Here is a 14,309-nt window from a genome sequence, read left to right on the forward strand (position 1 = left end):
CTGGGTGACAGAGTGACAGCCTGTCCTCCCAAAAAATAAAAAAATGTTTTAAAAAGTACATGTCTGATGTGCTTACAAAAAATAAAAGAAGATCCTTGGTTAATGGCCCTGCCCCTTACTCCAAGGCCATATTTGCTGTGCTCACTGTCTGGGCTCTAGTCCTGCTGCCTCCAGCTAACTCCTCCTTTACCTGGCTAACCCTTTGTCTCTTTATTAATGCCATAAACATTTATTGAGCACCTACTACATGCCAGATCTTATTCTGGGAGCTGGGAATACAGCAGTAAACAAGACGGACAAGACCCCATCCTTGAGGAGCTCACAGCTTGACATTCCTTCTCAAAGTGGTTAAGCCCCAGGATGCTGGAGCCTGACGGGTTGAGTTTGAATCCCAGCTCTGCCATTTAACTAGCTGTGGGCAAATGTTTAGCGCCTAGTACTGTAATAAATGTGAACTCTCAGCCGGGCGCAGTGGCTCACGCATGTAATCCCAGTAGTTTGGGAGGCTGAGGCGGGTGGGTCACTTGAGGCTAGGAGTTCGAGCCTGGCCAACATAGTGAAACCCCATCTCCACTGAAAACACAAACACTAGCTGGGTGTGGTGGCGGGCACCTGTAATTCCAGCTACTTGGGAGGATGAGGCAGGAGAATCTCTTGAATCCAGAAGGCTGAGGTTGCAGTGAGCTGAGATCATGCCACTGCACTCCAGCCTGGGCCAGAGTGAGACTGTTGCCGTGGTGCTCATCATCAGTCTCCAGATGTCAGTTGTCCCCTTTTCTAGTGAGCCGTCTCTGATTGCAGCAGGCTGACTGAACCTATTCTGGGATCCCACAGCTCCTGGGCTCCCTCATCCCTGCCCTGAACGCTCTGGGCTGTAGCCCTTTGGTAATGGGTATGTGTCCCCTACTGGACAGGGAGCCTGGTGAGGGCAGGGACCAGGGCTTTCCTGATGCCTGCTCTGTCCCCAAATTCACCCAGCAGAGAAGTGTGCACGCAGCAGGCACTCAGTACACATATGCTGAACACCTGAGTGTCACCGACAGCTGCGGAGGCACTGGGGCAATCTGTGTGTTTCTCAGCCTGGCGTCGGGGGTTAAGGGGGCGGGAATTACTCGGCGAGGTCGGGAGGTCGCGCGGTGGAACCCGGGGGCCAGGTGGAACTCGGTGTAACAGAGCCCCCAGTGGTCGCGCCGCGTCTCAGAACCCGGTGCGGGAGACGCTCTCCCCGCCCAAAGAGGGAAGGCGGGCGGGACTCCCCAACCGGCTTGCCCCGGTCCCCCTGGGCCCCATGAATAACCAGGCGCGGACCCCAGCCCCCTCCTCGGCGCGGACTTCAACCTCAGTCCGGGCTTCTACCCCGACCCGGACACCGACTCCACTCCGGACCCCGACTCCGGTCCGGACTCGGACCCCCATCCGGACCCTGACTCCAGTCCTGACTCCGTCTCCAGCCGGGACTTCCCCTCTGGTCCTGACTCCTGCTCCAGCCCAGATTCCCACTCTGGTCCCCACTCCCGCTCTGGCCCGGATCCCCCGTCTGGTTCCGCCTCCTGCTCCGGCCTGGATCCCTACTCCGGTGCCGACTCCCGTTCCCGTCCGGAACCCAACTCCGGTCCCGACTCCGGCTCGGACCCTGACTCCTCCAGTCCGGGTCCCAGCCCCAGCCCCAGCCCAGCTCCTGGCAGGGATTCGGGCCGCGCTCCCCGTCTTGGACTCCTACCTGGCCCCGGCCCTACCTTTGGATCCGCCCCCGGAACCTGCTCCGGAGCTGCCTTTGTTGCCCGAGGAGGACCCTGAGCCGGCGCCGAGCCTGAAGCTCATCCCGTCGGTCTCCAGCGAGGCCGGGCCCGCCCCGGGGCCCCTTCCCACGCGCACCCCGCTGGCCGCGAACTCACCCGGGCCCACCCTGGACTTCACCTTCAGGGCAGACCCGTCGGCCATCGGGCTGGCGGATCCCCCCATTCCCAGTCCTGTCCCCTCGCCCATCCTGGGGACCATCCCGTCGGCCATCTCCTTACAGAATTGTACGGAAACCTTCCCCTCCTCCAGCGAGAACTTCGCGCTGGACAAGAGGGTCCTGATTCGAGTGACCTACTGGTGAGGACCTCACACATGCCTCTCCCAACCCCCGGGGACAGGGCCGGCAGTGGGGGCTGGGTCTCCGGGGACGTGGAGGTCAGGGTTGGGGTAGGGCGAGGGGAGGGATTCAGGAAGAGCCCCAGAGTTCCAGTTCCCAGATTGGAAACCCGCTCTTGTCTCTCATTCTCTTTGGGGCAGGAGAGCTTCAGGTTCAAATCCCTGCTTTGGATCTGAGCTTCATTCATTCGTTTCTGAGTGCCCCGCGGGCCAAGTGCCAGGCCTGTGCTAGAGATGGGGTGCTGAGTAGAGCAGATCGATCTACTTTGCTCCCCAGCAAGACCAACCCAAAGACACCGCACATGATAGGGGCTCTGGCTTCCCTTCCCAGCCTCTCTCCTGCCCTGGAAGCCTCTCTGGCCCCTTGTCTCTCTCTCTCTCTCTCACTTCCTCCTCTTCTGTCTCTGCCCACAGGCGGTCTCTCCCACTCTCTGTCTCTCTGTCTCCCCACCTCACTCTCTCTCTCTTTTGTTTTTGTTTGTGTTTCGGACAGGTCTTGCTTTACTGCCCAGGCTGGAGTGCAGTGGTGCAATCACTGCTCACTGCAGCCTCGACCTCCAGGGCTCAAGCGATCTTCCCACCTCAGCCTCCTGAGTAGCTGGGACTACAGGTGTGCACCACCATGCCTGCCTAATTTTTTTTTTTTTTTTTTGAGACGGAGTTTCACTCTTGTTGCCCAGGCTGGAGTGCAATGGCGCGACCTCTGCTCACTGCAACCTCTGCCTCCCGGGTTCAAGCAATTCTCCTGCCTCAGCCTCCCGAACAGCTGGAACCACAGGCATGTGCCACCACGCCCGGCTAATTTTGTATTTTTTTTTAGTAGAGACGGGGTTTCACCATGTTGGCCAGGCTGGTCTCGATCTTCTGACCTCGTGATCCACCCACCTTGGCCTCCCAAAGTGCTGGGATTATAGGTGTGAGCCACCGCGCCTGGCCCCTAATTTTTAAATTTTGTTGTAGAGATGGGGTCGGGGATGGGGTGCGGGGGCAGTATCACTATGTTGCCCAGGCTGTTCTTGAACTCCTACATTCAAGCAGTCCTCCTGCCTCAGCCTCCCAAAGATCTGGGATTACAGGTGTGAGCCACCGTGCCCAGCCTGTGTCTTTCCTTTCCCAGAGTGTTGTGTGTTTCTGCTTCTCCCTATCTCGGTTCCCTCACCTCTGGCCTCTTTCTTTCTCTCCATCTTATCTTTTCTGTCTCTTTCTCTGACTCCATGGATTCGTGTATTCATGTATTCATTCGACAACTACTTCTTCACCACCCACCATGTTCCAGGTCCTATTGGCATCAGGGACACAGCAGTGAACAAGACCGAGATCCCCGTCCTTGTGGCTCCCATGGGCTGGTGTGGAGGGGCAAGCAAAAAAACAATAATATGACCTGTAGAAAATGATCTCATATGTGAGGAGGTGATCCGTACTGTGAACAAAAGGCATTTTGGGGGGTTGCAGTTTTAGCTGGGGTGGTCAGGAAGGCCTCACTGAGAAGGGGGTATATGAGCGAAGCCCTGAAGGAAGGAGAGAAGGAGTTGTGTGGATGCTGTGGGGAGAGCATTTGGCTGAGGGAACTGCCAGTGCAAAGGTCCTGAGGCAGGGCATACCTGGGGTATTGAAAGATGAGCTAGGGGCAGGGCCTATAATCCCAGCACTTTGGGAGGCCAAGGTGAGTGGATCACTTGAGGCCAGGTGTTGAAGACCAGCCTGGGCAACACGGCAACATGGTGAAACCCTGTCTCTATAAAAAATTTCAAAAATTAGCTGGGTGTGATGGTGCATGCCTGTAATCCCGGCTACTTGGGAAGCTGAAGTGGGAGAATTGCTAGAACCCAGGAGGTGGAAGGTTGCAGTGAGCCGAGATCGCACCACTGCTCTCCAGCCTGGGCGACAGAGCAAGACTCTGTCTCAAAAAAAAAAAAAAAAAAAAAAAAAAAGCCCAGCGCGGTGGCTCACGCCTGTAATTCCAGCACTTTGGGAGGCCGAGGTGGGTGGATCACGAGGTCAGGAAATCAAAACCATCCTGGCCAACATGGTGAAACCCGGTCTCTACTAAAATATAAAAAATTACCCGGGCGTGGTGGTGGGCGCCTATAGTCCCAGCTACTAGGGAGGCTGAGGCAGGAGAATGGCGTGAACCCGGGAGGCGGAGCTTGCAGTGAGCTGAGATCGCGCCATTGCACTCCAGCCTGGGCAACAGAGCGAGACTCCGTCTCAAAAAAACAAAAAAACAAAAAAACAAAAAAAAAAGAGAGAGAGAGAGAAAGAAAGATGAGCTAGGGGCTTCTGTGGCTGGCACAGGGTGAATGAATTGGGGAGAAGTGGGAGAAGATGGAGACAGAGGGGTGAGAAGGCAGATCCTGTGGTGGCTTGCAGGCCACGGGAAGGACTGGTTTTTCCCCTGCGTGAGATGGCACTACTTCGGGATTCTGAACAGGGGAGGAACATGATCTAACTCAGGTGTTCATAGGGTGCCCTGAGCTGGGGAAGATACTGATGCGGTGTCTTCCCTGGTCTCTCTCTTAACTTTCTCCTCCTGCTCTTGGCCTCCAGTGGCCTCTGAAGCTATAGCCTTCGGGTGAGTAGTTTTGGCTTTGGAGGTAGGGGGAGCCTGAGGCAGGAAGACTGGGAGGAGTCCCTGTTTCCCCTCCCCTGCAACCCCATGACCCCATCTCCTCCCCTCAGTACATTCTACTGAAAAAGAGCCTGGAGCAGCAATTTCCGAATCACCTACTCTTTGTAAGTGTGTGGGGGTCCTGGGGGAGAGGGGGGTGGTCAGGGATCTGAGATCCCCAAGGGGCTTGGAGGAGAGAGCTTAGCCTCCCCTACGCTCACCATTTCCTCCCAGGAGGAGGACAGAGCTGCCCAGGCTACAGGGGAGTTTGAGGTGTTTGTGAACGGGAGACTGGTCCATTCCAAGAAGGTGATCCTGAGTAAAGGTCCGGGACAGGGAGGTGGGGTGGTGCTGAGGTCCTGGGGGTGGGAGACCTGTGTGCTTTCTTCCCTCTGTGCCCAGAGGGGTGATGGCTTTGTGAACGAGTCCAGGCTGCAGAAAATTGTGAGCGTTATCGATGAGGAAATCAAGAAAAGGTAGCCGGCAAGGGGTGGAGCTGGAGGTGAGCGTGGAGCTCCCAAGGCTGCGGTGGGAGGGGTGGAGGCCGGGTAGGAGGATGGGGCAGGGCTCTGTCTCAGTCCTGATCCTAGCTCAGCCGGTTCTCACTGTTAGAATCATGACAAGTCACCTACATTCTTTTCTGAGCCTCAGTTGCCTCATCTGTAAGACCCTGGGGTAGGACTGTGTTCAGTGAGTTTGAAAAATAGCAAGGAGGCAGGGCACAAGTCTAGCACTTTGGATGGCTAAAATGGCAGATCACTTGAGCCCAGGAGTTCGAGACCAGCCAGAGCAACATAATGAGACTCTGTCTCTACAAAAAATAATAAATAAATAAATAAATAAATAAATTAGCCAGGCACAGTGGCTCACGCCTGTAATCCCAGCCCTTTGAAAGCCTGAGGTGGGTGGATTGCTTGAGCCCAGGAGTTAGAGGCTGCAATGAGCTCTGACTGGGCCACTGCACTCTAGCTTGGGTGACAGAGCAAGACCCTGTCTCTACAAGAAAAAAAAAAAGTGCCGGGCGGGATGGCTCACCCCTGTAATCCCAGCACTTTGGGAGGCCGAGGCGGGCGGGTCACGAGGTCAGGAGATCGAGACCATCCTGGCTAACACGGTGAAACCTTGTCTGTACTAAAAATACAAAAAATTAGCCAGGCGTGGTGGCGGGTGCCTGTAGTCCCAGCTACTCAGAAGGCTGAGGCAGGAGAATGGCGTGAACCTGAGAGGCGGAGCTTGCAGTGAGCTGAGATGGCGCCACTGCACTCCAGCCTGGGCGACAGAGCGAGACTCTGTCTCAAAAAAAAAAAAAAAAAAAAAAGGAAAAGAAAAAATAGTGAGGAAACTAGAATGGGCATTGTAGTCCATGGAAACAGTATAACTGCCTGAGGCATGGTAGACCCTATATAAACACTTATTTTTATATGGAGCTGTCATTGTTATTGTTATTTAAAATTCTTTTCTTTCTCTCCCATCTTAGGAGTCTCAGCTGGATGATGAGAAGGGCTGAAATGTTGCCAAGTCAGGTCCTTTTCTGATGGTGGCTGGGGCTGGGGTGAGCTCAGGGAGGGGAAGAGGAGAATACATGCAGAGTCAGCACCCCTGTGTCCAGTCTGACTGTGTCTGCTGTCGCCACACTCACCTCTGAGGTCTGTGGAAGTCACCTGATATTCTGGCCCCAGGGGTGGGAGGGAGGGGAGCTTGGAAGGCTAGTCCTGTAGCTCCAGTCCTCTGTCTGGCCTCCACTCCTCTTGCTCCTGAGGGCAGTTTGTTTCTTTTGTGGATTCGTCATTTCCCATGCCCTGGTTCCAGATACATTTTGAAAACCTTCCATCTTATTGGCATTTTCTGGGGTTGTGAGGGAAACGGGGATGGCAGTCAGACTCAAACCCGTGACACTCCAAACTCGATTATGCTCCAGGGCCCACTTTCTAAACCTGTAAGATCTATGTTCCAGCCTGCGCAACATAGTGAGACCCCAACTCTACAAAAAATAAAAAATTAGCCAGGTGTGGTGGTGTGTGCCTGTGGTCCCAGCTATTTGGGAGGCTGAGGCAGGAGGATGGCTTGAGCCCAGGAGGCTGCAGTGAGCCATGATTATGCCACTGTATTGCAGCCTGGACAACAGAGTGAGATCCTGTTTCAAGAAAAAAAAAAAAAAGGAAAAAAACCCATAGGTTTTAGAATGCCAGTGTTGTAGGGAGCGTCTCTGTGACCTGGGGCTGGAGGAGAGGCATTTTCACATTCATTGGACATTTATGGGCTCCGTACTCTGCACCTGGCATGGTGGGGTCAGTGGTCACATGCCAGGAGGTCAAGGGCAAAGGCAGGGGGGGCTCAGACTTTACCACTTAGTTGCTGTGTGACCACCACCAAGGGACGCCACCTCTCTGAGCCTCCATTTCCTCCTCCATAAAATAGACGTCATAGCACTATTTAACTTGTGGAATTTTTGTGATAATTACATACTAAATTATGCTTGGGAAAGGATTAGCAGAAGGCTTATCACAGAATTAGTAAGTTTCAGTTAGTAGTAGATTTCAGTTAAGAGTGCTTTTGCCTACTAGTAACAGCAGACTTGACTGCCAATGGCTCACACAGCAGACTTGACTGCCAATGGCTCACACAGTAGAAAACACAAATTCTGTTTTGTTTGTTTTTTGAGATGGAGTCTGGCTCTGTCACCCAGGCTGGAGTGCAATAGCACAATCTTGGCTTACTGTAACCTCTGCCTCCCTGGGTTTAAGCAATTCTCCTGCCTCAGCTTCCCGAATAGCTGGGATTACAGGCATGCACCACCACACCCACCTAATTTTTGTATTTTTAGTAGAGATGGGGTTTTGCCATGTTGGACAGGCTGATCTCGAACGCCTGACCTCAAGTGATCCGCCCACCTCAGCCTCACTGCTGGGATTAGAGGCGTGAGCCACCTCAGGCCTGATGTTTTCAACACCTGACAGGATAATGTGCTGGCCCTGTACATACAAATGATATGCTGGTGTGAGTAGGAAATAAGTTATCTATCATGCCTGCTAAGACAGAGTGCTGGAGGGTAGGGGAAAGTCCCAAAACATATATGGGGTTTGTCTCAGTGAAATCTGTATGTGTCAAGCAGTATAAAACATGAGAGGATATTTCCTATGTGAAAGATACTTTCCACCCCCTACAGTTAGGGATTTGTTTTTTTTTTTTGAGACAAGAGTCTCGCTCTGTCACCCAGGCTGGAGCGTAGTGGCATGATCTCAGTTCACTGCAGCCTTGAACTCCTGGGCTCAAGCAATGCTCCCACGTCAGCCTCCCAAGTAGCTGGGGTTACAGGCACGTGCGACCATGCCAGGCTAACGATTTTTTTTTTTTTGAGACAGAGTCTCACTCTGCCCCCAGGCTGGAGGGCAGTGGCGCGATCTCAGATCACTGCAACCTCTGCCTCCTGAGTTCAAGCCATTCTCCTGCCTCAGCCTCCTGAGTAGCTGGGATTACAGGCGCGCCCCACCATGCTCGGCTGATTTTTGTATTTTTAATAGAGAAGGAGTTTCGCCATGTTGGTCAGGCTGGTTTCGAACTCCTGACCTCGTGATCTGTCTGCCTCGGCTTCCCAAAGTGCTGGGATTTCAGGCGTGAGCCACTGCACCAGGCAGGCTAATGATTTTTGTATTTTTAGTAGAGACGGGGGTCTCCTCATGTTGCCCAGGCTGGTCTTGAACTCCTGGGCTCAAGCAATACACCTGCCTTGGCCTTCGGAAGTGCTGGGTTACAGACATGAGCCACCATGCCTGGCCAGGGGTTTGCTTTAATCACACTTTTATGAACTTGGTGACACCACCCTGGTTCAGAACGCCTAACATACCTCATAAAATATTTTTATTTTTTATTTTTTTGAGACGGAGTCTCGCCCTGTCACCCAGGCTGGAATGCAGTGGTGCGATCTTGGCTCACTGCAACCTCTGCCTCCCTGGTTCAAGTGATTCTCCTACCTCAGCCTCCAGAGTAGCCAGGATTACAGGCACCCGCCACCACGCCCGGCTAATTTTTTGTATCTTTAGTAGAGAGGGGGTTTCACCATGTTGGCCAGGCTGGTCTCCAACTCCTGACCTTGTGATCCGCCCACCTCAGCCTCCCAAAGTGCTGGGATTACAGGTGTGAGCCACTGCTCCCGGCCTAAAATATTTTAAAAATATTTTTAATGCAAAATTGAGCTGGTGGGAAGGTAAGGGAACTCCTGGAGTCCAGAAATCTCACAGAAATATAAATCCAAAAGTGGTTGGTGTTGGAGTTGGTACTTGCTGTGAGGAAATCTGCTAATTTTGATGGCAAGAACCTGCATGACTCAAAATGTAAAGGGAAAAGACAGAACCCAAGGCCCAAGCGGGATGAGATGCCAGAGTGGAGACCATGTGGATGCCGGGAACCCCAGGAGGCAGTACCCTCCAGTGGGTAGGCTGGGAAAAAATGCCCCTCTCACAGAGGTAGGCAGTTGGGGTGATTAGCAGTCTCCACCTTGTTAGTGAGCAAATGATTGAAAGAAAGCCTTCTGTTAATAAGCCTGCACTCACACAAATTTGGGACCTAAATTCCTGCCATCTGACAAGTCTGAAATTTCATCTAAATTAATGTCTGGTTAGGAATGTTCCCAAGTATGTGTTATGATTAAACAGAAGTCAACTAAGAAGATGCTGAACCATTTCCCAGGTAGTTCCCAAAGATAATATTTTGAGGAACATGAGTTAGCAATTAAAAGGAGCCAGGCATGGTGGCTTACACCTGTAATCCTAGCACTTAGGGAGGCAGAGGCGGGAGGATGACTTGAGGCCAGGAGTTCAAGACTGGCCTGGGCAACATAGGGAAACCCTGTCTCTACAAAAAATACAAAAATTAGCCCAGCATGGTGGCATTCGCTTGTAGTCCCAGCTACTCAGGAAGCTGAGGCTGGAGGATTGCTTGAGCCCAGGAGGTCGAGGCTGCGGTGAGCCATGATTGAGCCATGATTGTGCCACCGCATTCCAGCCTGGGCGACAGATCGAGAGACCCTGTCTCAATAAAGGAAAAAAAAAAGTCCTGGCGCAGTGGCTCACGCTTGTAATCCCAGCACTTTGGGAGGCCGAGATGGGCGGATCATGAGGTCAGGAGATCGAGACCATCCTGACTAACATGGTGAAACCCCGTCTCTACTAAAAAAAAGAAATACAAAAAATTAGCTGGGCGTGGTGGTGGGCACCTGTAGTCCCAGCTACTCCGGAGGCTGAGGCAGGAGAACGGCATGAACCCGGGAGGCGGAGCTTGCAGTGAGCTGAGATTGCGCCACTGCCCTCCAGCCTGGGGGACAAAGCGAGACTCATCTCAAAAAAAAAAAGGAAAAAAAAATTGTCGTTAACATAAAAGTCATTAAAGTAAAAAACAGTATTAGATATTGTCGTATAGTAGAGAATTTAGTTGGCCTTTGTGTCCAGTTGCTGGGAGGGACTCTTTAAATCCTTGGCATTTCCCAAGTGACAGGGGTGCACCGTTAACATGGTGGACCCCTTGGGCCATACTTGATAGTTTTTTTGTTTTTTTTTTTTCGGAAATGGAGTCTCACTCTGTTTCCCAGGTTGGAGTGCGGTGGCACGATCTCGGCTCATTGCAACCTCCACCTCCTGAGTTCAAGCGATTCTCTTTCCTCAGCCTCCCGAGTAGCTGGGACTACAGGTGCACGCCGCCACGCCCAGCTAATTTTTTTTTTTTTTGTATTTTAGTACAGATGGGGTTTCACTGTGTTGCTCAGGCTGGTCTCGAACTCCTGACTTCAGGCAATCCGCCTGCCTTGGCCTCCCAAAGTGCCAGAATTACAGGTGTGAGCCACCACCGGCCCATATTTGATAGTTTAGACTCAAAAGGTGACTAACGGTGCACTTCCACTTCTTGTTTATGGTAATTAGGTGAATCAGAATGGCAGCTGTCAGTGACAGAAGGGCCACCATGAGCTTATGAGAAAGCTGGACTTTGAGCCACGTGGTATCAGCTTGACAGTCTGGGAGGGGAAGGAAGCTGGAGATTGAGTTTCAGTTCCATGACCAATGATCCAGTCAATCACGCCTGCATAATAAAACCCCAATAGGCCGGGTGCAGTGGCTCATGCCTGTAATCCCAGTACTGTGGGAGGCTGAGGTGGGCGGATCATCTGAGGTCAGGCGTTGGAGACCAGCCTGGCCAACAGGGTGAAACCCCGCCTCTACTAAAAATACAAAAATTAGCTGGGCATGGTGGCACATGCCTGTAATCACAGCTACTCGGGAGGCTGAGGCAGGAGAATCACTTGAACCTGGGAGGTGGAGGTTAAAGTAAGCCGAGATAAGGCCATTGCACCCCAGCCTGGGTGACAGAGCAAGACTCCGTCTCAGAAAAAAAATAAATGAAAACCCCCCAAAAAAACTTTGTGCACGCAGGCCCAGATAGCTTTCCCAGCTAGGAATACTCTGCGTATCACCACAAATCCATGTGCCAGAAAACTGATGTGTCCTGCCTCCACAGGGAGAGGACGTGGAAACTGTGCACTGGGACCATCCCAGACCTCGCCATGTGTGTGTTTCTTTCTTGGCTAATCTTGATTTTTATCTTTTTTTTTCTTTTTTTTTTGCTATAATAAAACTATAAAATCATAGCACTTTCCCCAGTTCTGTGAGTCACTCTAGTGAATTATTGACCCTGAAGGAGGAGTGGGAACCCCCTGAATTTGTAGCCTGTTGGTCAGGAGTAAGGAGGTCTGGGAACCCCAGAGCTTGTGGCTGGTGTCTGGAGTGAGGACAGCCTTGTGGAAGACTGAGTCCTTAAACCTGTGAAGACGAATATTCACTCCTAGTGTCAGAATTGCATCGTAGACATGAAGTAGTAACTACAGAATAATAAACATTTTAATTGGGCAGGAGGATGGTACAATTCTAAACTGTATGTACCTATTAACAGCTTCAAAATACGTTAAGCAGCAGGGCGGGCGCGGTGGCTCACGCCTGTAATCCCAGCACTTTGGGAAGCTGAGGCGGGCTGATCACGAGGTCAGGAAATCGAGACCATCCTGGCTAACACGGTGAAACTCCATCTCTACTATAAAAAAAAATACAAAAAATTAGCTGGGCGTGGTGGGGGGCGCCTGTAGTCCCAGCTACCTGGGAGGCTGAAGCAGGAGAATGGCGTGAACCTGGGAGGCGGAGCTTGCACGTGAGTCGAGATCGCGCCACTGCACTCCAGCCTGGGTGACACTGCAAGACTCCGTCTCAAAAAACAAACAAACAAACAAACAAAAATTAGCCGGGCCTGGTGGTGCGCGCCCGTAATCCCAGCTACTCGGGAGGCTGAGATAGGAGAATCGCTTGAACCCAGGAGGGGGAGGTTGCAGTGAGCCGAGATCGCACCAGTGCACTCCAGCTTGGGCAACAGAGTGAGACTCCGTCTCAAAAACAAAACAAAACAAAAACAAAATACATTAAGCAAAAGTTGAGAAAACTATAGATCATATTATAATGTGAAATTGTCAAATACACCTAAATTAGAGACAGGTGAAACTGACAAAAAATAATTCAGGATGTAGAAGAGTGTGTAGAACATAAACCACAAGCCTGATCTAATGAACAAATGTATATAATTGTATCTAACAATTGGAGAATACCTTTCTGCACAAATGAAATATTTACAAAATGTAACAATGTGTTGTGCCATAAAGCCTCCATACATTTTAAATAATTTGCGTCATTCAAACCACATTCTCTGACCACTATGTACTTAAGTCAGAAATCAGTAACAAAAGAAACATAAAAATCTGAACATCTTCAGGAATTAAGAAACACACTTCTTTTTTTTTTTTTCTGGCAAAATAAGCCAGAAAGTGCTACATCACCCAGGCTGGAGTGCAATGGTGCGATCTCGGTTCACTGCAACTTCCACCTACCGGGTTCAAGTGATTCTCCTGCCTCAGCCTCCCGAGTAGCAGGGATTACAGGTGCGTGCCACCACACCTAGCTATTTTTTGTATTTTTAGTGGAGGCGGGGTTTCACCATGTTGGCCAGGATGGTCTCGTACTCCTGACCTCAGGTGATCCGCCTGCCTTGGCCTCCCAAAGTGCTGGGATTACAGGCGTGAGCCACTGGACCCGGCCTTTTTTTTTTTTTTTTGAGACAGTCTTGCTCTGTCACCCAGGCTGGAGTGCAGTGGTGGGATCTTGGCTCACTGCAACCTCCACCTCCCAGGTTCAAGCAATCCTTCCTGCCTCAGCCTCCTGAGTAGCAGGGATTACAGGAGTGCCCCACCACATCCAGCTAATTTTTGTATTTTTAGTAGAGACGGGGCTTCGCCATGTTGGCCAGGCTGGTCTTGGATTCCTGACCTCAAGTGATTCACCCGCCTTGGCCTCCCAAAGTGCTGGGATTACAGGCGTGAGCCACAGCACCTGGCCTGAAAATGCTATATTCTAAGTCAGTAGAGAAATACTAATACTCAGACAAGTACCCTACAAACTCTATTGATTTTATCTCACAGGAAAAAGAAAATTATCAATGAACTACTCTCCCAAAAAGCATTAGCCCTGAATGGTTTTCAGAATAAAAATCTGTGAAACTTTAAAAACCAGATAATTCCAATGCCAGCTTTTTCCAGAGCAGGGAAAAAATAAAATACTTCTGTACTCTTCATATGAAATGATATATATGAAATACAGTTGATCTAAATACTGAAAAGGTTGATAAACTAGAAACTAATTTCACTTATGAATTCTAATACAAAATCTTAAATAAAATTTTATTTTATTCCATAAAATAAAATGGAATTCAATATCATACTAAGGAATAATGTATTATGTCTAAGTGAGGGGCATTTCAAATGCAAGGACCATTACTACAAAACCTATGAACATGATTTAACATATGAATATACTGCCGGGCGAGGTGGCTCATGCCTGTAATCCCAGCACTTTGGGAGGCCAAGGCGGGCGGATCACCTGAGGTCAGGAGTTCGAGACCATCCTAGCCAACATGGTGAAACCCCGCCTCTACTAAAAATACAAAATTAGCCAGGTGTGGTGGTGCATGCCTGTAATCCCAGCTACTCAGGAGGCTGAGGCAGGAGAATTGCTGGAACCTGGGAGGTGGAGGTTGCGGTGAGTGGAGGTTGTGCCATTGTACTCCAGCCTGGGCAACGAGAGTGAAACTCCGTCTCAAACAAAAAACAAAAAACATATGAATACATCATGGGAGAAAAGAGATCCACAAACGCGGATCTGACCTTTAACAACATTCTCTACCAGTTGGGCGCACTGGCTCACGCCTGTAATCCCAGCACTTTGGGAGGCTGAGGCGGGCAGATTGCCTGAGGTCAGGAGTTCCAGACCAGCCTGGCCAACATGGTGAAGCCCTGTCTCTACTAAAAATACAGAAATTAGCTGAGTGTGGTGGTGGGCGCCTGTAATCCCAGCTATTCAGGAGGCTGAGGCAGGAGAATCGCTTGAACCTGGGGGGCAGAGGTTGCAGTGAGCCGAGATGGTGCCACTGCACTCCAGCCTGGGCGACAGCGAGACTCTGTCTCAAAAAAAAAAAAAAAAAAAAA

At 50.9% G+C, this 14,309-nt stretch overlaps 1 protein-coding gene across 3 annotated transcripts, besides 2 other annotated features; it reads left to right on the plus strand.

Annotated features, from left to right (window-relative positions):
- The first annotated feature begins 1,188 nt into the window (after positions 1 to 1,188).
- Positions 1,189 to 6,762, plus strand: SELENOV (selenoprotein V). Of its 3 annotated transcripts, NM_182704.2 has the most exons (6): positions 1,215 to 2,097; positions 4,684 to 4,708; positions 4,816 to 4,869; positions 4,979 to 5,053; positions 5,147 to 5,246; positions 6,222 to 6,751. In NM_182704.2, the coding sequence occupies exons 1-5, from the start codon at positions 1,289 to 1,291 to the stop codon at positions 5,222 to 5,224; spliced, it is 1,041 nt and encodes a 346-aa protein (NP_874363.1). In that variant the 5' UTR covers positions 1,215 to 1,288; the 3' UTR covers positions 5,225 to 5,246; positions 6,222 to 6,751. The 3 variants fall into 3 exon arrangements, 2 of the variants coding, with proteins under 2 accessions (NP_001337738.1, NP_874363.1); NM_001350809.1 differs by lacking the exon at positions 4,979 to 5,053 and having other exon boundaries at positions 1,189 to 2,097; positions 6,222 to 6,762; NR_146916.2 differs by lacking the exons at positions 4,684 to 4,708; positions 4,979 to 5,053 and having other exon boundaries at positions 1,499 to 2,097.
- Positions 6,265 to 6,559: a silencer, noted in NCBI's record as "tiled region #12203; K562 Repressive DNase matched - State 5:Enh". NCBI's record gives its function as "represses a minimal TATA promoter and a strong SV40 promoter by Sharpr-MPRA in K562 cells {active_cell/tissue: K562}" and the evidence as "EXISTENCE:reporter gene assay evidence [ECO:0000049][PMID:27701403]".
- Positions 10,572 to 10,772: a silencer, noted in NCBI's record as "peak3477 fragment used in MPRA reporter construct". NCBI's record gives its function as "represses an SCP1 promoter by STARR-seq MPRAs in K562 erythroleukemia cells {active_cell/tissue: K562}" and the evidence as "EXISTENCE:reporter gene assay evidence [ECO:0000049][PMID:32103011]".

The sequence above is a fragment of the Homo sapiens genome, chromosome 19 (assembly GCF_000001405.40).
Source record: "Homo sapiens chromosome 19, GRCh38.p14 Primary Assembly".
Taxonomy (NCBI): Eukaryota; Metazoa; Chordata; class Mammalia; order Primates; family Hominidae; genus Homo; species Homo sapiens.